The following is a 5,224-nucleotide window of genomic DNA, read 5'->3' on the forward strand; positions in this document are numbered from 1 at the left end:
ACACTGCCTCCACAGTGTTTATAGTCATGTCCTTACAGGCAAAATGCAATTATAACATAGTGTGGTAAGTGGTCTGAATGAAGAAATGCAGAAGACTCAGGAGAGGAAATAAACCCACCCTTGGGTTGTCAGGAAAGGCTTCTTGAAGGAAGTCACAGGGAAGGTAAGACCAAATATGTAGGTAATATACAAGTGGAAGTTAGACATGTGTGGGTGGGTTCAGTGTGAGTTGGGATGGGGTTCAAAATAGAAGGTGGAAGAGGGTATGGTCTGACCTCTGTATCTGCAGGCTGTGCATCTGCAGATTAAACCAAATGCAGATGGAAAATATTTGAGAAAAACAACCAACGACAACAACAAAAATACAACAAAAAAGAATGATACAAGCTTTTAAAATACAGTATGACAGCTATTTACATAGCATTTATATTGTAATGTAACCATCCAAGGGGTTCACCTTGCCTGCTGCCTACATACAGCTGATTTATCAAGACTGGGGAATTGCGATAGAGAAAGAGTAATTCACGTAGAGCCAGCTGTAGGGGAGACTGGAGTTTTATTATTACTCAAATCAGTCCCTGGAGCATTTGGGGATCAGAGTTGTTAAAGACAATTTGGTGGGAGGGGAGGGGCATTGAGCCGGGGGGTGTTGATGGGGCATCACTGTCTTCTTGCACTGAGTCAGTTCCTGGGTGGGGGGTCACAAGATCAGATGGGGCAGTTTCTCAATCTGGGTGGTGCTGGCTGTTCATCAAGTGAAGGGTCTGCAAAACATCTCAAGCATTGATCTTAAGAGCAGTTTAGGGAGGGTCAGAAGCTTGTAGCCTCCAGCCACATGACTCCTAAACCATAATTTCTAATCTCGTGGCTAATGTTAGTAGTCTAGTCCCCAGGCGAGAAGGAGGTTTGTTTGGGGAAAGGGCTGTTATCGTCTTTGTTTTAAACTATAAACTAATTTCCTCCCAAAGTAAGTTCCGCCTATACCCAGGAATGAACAAGGACAGCTTGGAGGTTAGAGGCAAGATGGAGTCATTTAAGTTGGATGGATCTTTATCACTATCTCAGTCATAATTTTGCAAACGCAGTTTCAGTATTAGGTATTGATATGGTTTAGCTCTGTGTACCCACCCAAATCTCACCTTGAATTGTAATCTCCATAATCCTCACGTGTCAAGGGTAGGACCAGGTGGAGGTAATTGGATCACGGGGGCAGTTTCCCCTATGCTGTTCTCGTGATAGTGAGTTCTCATGAGATCTGATGGTTTTATATGCATCTGGCATTTCCCCTGCTTGCACTCGCTCCATCCTGCCACCCTGTGAAGAAGGTGCCGGCTTCTCCTTTGCCTTCCGCCATGATTATAAGTTTCCTGAGGCCTCCCTAGCAATGCAGAACTGTGAGTCAATTAAAGCTCTTTCCTTTATAAATTACCCAGTCTTGGGTATTTCTTCATAGCAGTGTGAGAATGGACTAATACGGGTATTATAAATAATCTAGAGATGACTTAAAGTATAAAGGAGGATACCTATAGACTATATGCAAATACGGTAATGCCTAACCTTGTTTTTACTCTAACTCGTTACTTTTAAGTTTTCCCTGCTTGTCTCCTTAGTTACCCAGCCTTGTTTTTCCCATACGAGTAAGACTTTCTCTTGGCTGGGAAAGCCGGACAAACTCCATTTGGCTTCTTGATGTTTACAAGACATTAAGGGCTCCTTACCCAACCCCCTTCCTCAAGGAGTTAACCTGTGTAAGCAGATCAGCATTTCAAAGGAGCCCAATTGACTGATGAGGTACTGAAACAAACAATGTAAGAAGTTCCCAGGATTTTACTCAAAGAGGTAACAACATAAAGCCTTGAGACTGTGTCCGGCATAGCATCTATATCTAACTCTAATAAAGGACTTAGAGCCCCACACCTGGTTCCACTGTTTTTTTGTAACCATTTGTCTTTTAAATTGTTTATCTCTCTGTAACCATTTGTTTCTTTGATTCTTGCATGTTTTTACTTCTGCAGAATTATTGCATTTGAGTTCCCCTCCCCTTCCTAAACCAAGGTATAAAAGTTAATCAAGCCCCTTCCTCAAGGCCGAGAGAATTTTGAGCGTTAGCCATCTCTTTGGCCGCTGGCTTAAATAACGGACTCTTAATTCATCTCAAAGTGTGGCGTTTTCTCTAACTTGTCTGGGTATAACAATACTACACCATTTTATATTGGGCATTTGAGCATCTGCAAATTTTGCTATCAACCAGAGGTCCTGGGACTAACCCCCAAAGACACCAAGGGAGGACTGTATTACCTCTTACCCCTCAAAAACGAAAAAAAAAATCTCAGCTTGTTGTGAAGGTTCACAGCAGAGGAAGGAATGCTGCTGCAGCTGAAAGAAATCCAGTCTGAACTTTATGTCAGTGCGTGAAGCTGGAGGTGAAAACCCTGAGATGAGGAGCGGGGGATCAAGCCTGATGACCTTATAATCCATATTAAGGAATTTAGACTTCATCCCAAAACTGAGGAGCCATTAAGCTGGTGATCACTGATTTGCATTTAGAAAGAGTATTCGAACATCTACAGCCCTCACACCTCACCTTTCATCATGTGTAAAGTCAGATGAATGATAAGGGGTTAACACTTGAAACTCTAAGGTAGTAAAATAAATTCAGAATGGAGAACGCTGTGGTAGGAAAAACTCAAGCACCATGCACAGGTGCACAGGTCCTCACTGCCCTGAGTCTGCCAACTCTGAAGTGACCAGACAAGTTGCTGCCACTTTGAAGTCAGGGATATGAAGGTACGTTGCCAGTTATGAGAAACTAAATCAATGATAATGTTATTACATTTTTCCTCAACATAACATAAATAGTAATTGTATACTTCTCTTATATTGTTCCTCACAAACCCCACCTCCATTACTCCATCATGCAAGCAAACACAATTTCTAAGAAAAAAGAAAAGGAAAGTGGACATATAGTAGTGTCTAAGCGCCCCCTGCCTTGTACCCCTGGAGATACAAGCTCCCAAATGTTTTTATTAGTGAGTCAATTATTTAACAGGGATATTGAAATTATTTGTGGAAAAGTGTTCTCAGATGTGATAACAAAAGACAAGTATTTTATTTTCTATATGTTTGTGATTAATGAACATCTTTTAACAGCTGAACCTGGAAGGCAACTGAAATCCAGGCCATAGTGTGTACAGGGCACCTATGGCTCTGCTGAAGGGAATGTGAGTTAACTCACGACCCAGAGTAATTCAATTTATGAAGGATTCCCTTGGTTTTAATACTATTTTACTAAACTCAAATATTGGCTAATGAGGTTATTTGAAGAAAAAAATAGTGTTTCAGAAATGGAAATACTTAATACAAGATGATTCCTTATGTGTAGTTTGTCATCTAGTGTTAATTTGTGGGAATTAAAAAAGGCAGGTACAATAATATCCAAGGAGGCTCATCAGGTAGCAAAGCAACATTTTAATTTTAAGGTATCAAGTTGTGTCCTAAGACCCTCTAAGCTTCCTGGAGGTGGATGAGTAGGTGGGTATGTGAATTGGCTACTTTTAAGAAATCAAGCCAGACACAGTGGTCCTTGCCTGTAATCCCAGCACTTTGGGAGGCTAAGGCACGAGGATTGCTTGGGCTCAGAAGTTTGAGACCAGCCTGGGCAACACAGAGACTACATCTCTATAAAAAGTAAATAAAAACAAAAAAGCCAGGTGTGGTGGCTCACGCCTGTAGTCCCAGCTACTCAGGAAGCTGAGATGGGAGGATTGCTTAAGCCTGGGAGGTCAAGGCTGCAGTGAGCCATGATTGGGCCGCTGCACTCCAGCCTGGGAGACAGAGCGAGATCCTGTCTGAAAGACAAAAAAAAGTTACATCCAGGAAACAAAATGGTTCTCAATTCTGGCTGCTTGGTATCACCTGGGAAACTTAAAAAATACAGATGGCCAGGTGACCCTCCAGACCTGGTCAGACTCACTCAGGTGGGATGCCAGCAGTGGCTTATCTATAAGCTCCCCAGGTGGTTCTAACGTACAGCCAGCAGGAGGACCACTAGGCAGGGGGTTAAGACTGTGCACCTCAGCGGTGTCTCTGCAGAAGTGTCATTGCTTAGCTATGTCACCCTGAGCAGGGAAATTGGGCTAATTAACATCTATTTGCCTCAGTACAAGGAGGATAATGATGTTTCCTGGGGTTATTGTGAGGTTTAAGTATGATCATGAGTATCAAGTGTTTAGCATAATGCATGGTACATTGTGCTCAGCAAATGCTAAATATCATTAATAACATTTTATCAAGGAAAATATTTCATGAATTACTTAAACTACCTAAGGGATATGAAGGTATTATATAGGACATACTGGAAGTAAGAACATATTACCTATGGCATATTTCCATTCTTCTTAAACAGGCAGCCTGCTGGGGTTGAATGCTGATACCCAGCTCCATCTGAGAAGCTTGTTACTTCTTTTCCAGTGCTTACTTACCTAAAGTGCTTTATAACACATTGAATTATTCCCAATTTTTCCTAATCTCTGTCTTTGGGTTCAAAATATCAAATGCCCTAGCAAATTTAATTTGTCCTTTTGGGTCAGATATCCTTTCCTGAATTAAACAAGGAACAGAGCCACACCATCTACAGATGTGGTGACAGTCAGCACAGTCCTGTTTGTTGGGGTCAACTCCCAGAGAAAGGAGAATCACTGTAACTTATAGTAAACTTCACAATCATAAAAAAGTAATCTATTATTAGTGTAGACTATTCTGGGCAGAATGACGGTCATCTGAAAAGGCTCAGAGGAGGCCAGTGAAGAGCTAGTGTTCCAGTTTGGTTGGACAATTGAAACATGACTTATGACAAATTGGATATGAAGACTAGGGAAAGAGAAAACTCAAATATATTAGGTGCTAATTTGAAAGGGCCGAGGTGAATGCTGCAGTATAGTAGTAGAAAAGCATGAGCAAAAAATAGAAATATATTGAACAGATCAAGTATGGGCAGGAGATGCAGGGGGAGAATTCAGATGGGAAATATGGGCTGTAGGTCAAGACTGGGGAGTCAGTAGAAAGGATGTGATGGTTGAAATCATGGGGCTTGCATGGGTCTCCTCAGAGTGACTTGACAGTCAGAAGGTAAACCACCAAGGAGAGCACTCTACAGAACTGTATTATCACCAGAGAAGAAAAGTCAGCAAAAGAAACAAAGAAAGGAACAAAGAACATTTCAACA

The 5,224-nt window shown here is 41.6% G+C and overlaps 1 annotated feature.

Moving 5' to 3' along the window:
• Positions 1,265-2,040: an enhancer, noted in NCBI's record as "OCT4-NANOG-H3K27ac-H3K4me1 hESC enhancer chr8:82512159-82512934 (GRCh37/hg19 assembly coordinates)". NCBI's record gives its function as "activates a minimal SCP1, AML or CMV promoter by ChIP-STARR-seq in naive H9 embryonic stem cells {active_cell/tissue: H9 hESC(naive)}" and the evidence as "EXISTENCE:reporter gene assay evidence [ECO:0000049][PMID:30033119]".

The sequence above is a fragment of the Homo sapiens genome, chromosome 8 (genome assembly GCF_000001405.40).
Source record: "Homo sapiens chromosome 8, GRCh38.p14 Primary Assembly".
NCBI classification, from domain to species: Eukaryota; Metazoa; Chordata; class Mammalia; order Primates; family Hominidae; genus Homo; species Homo sapiens.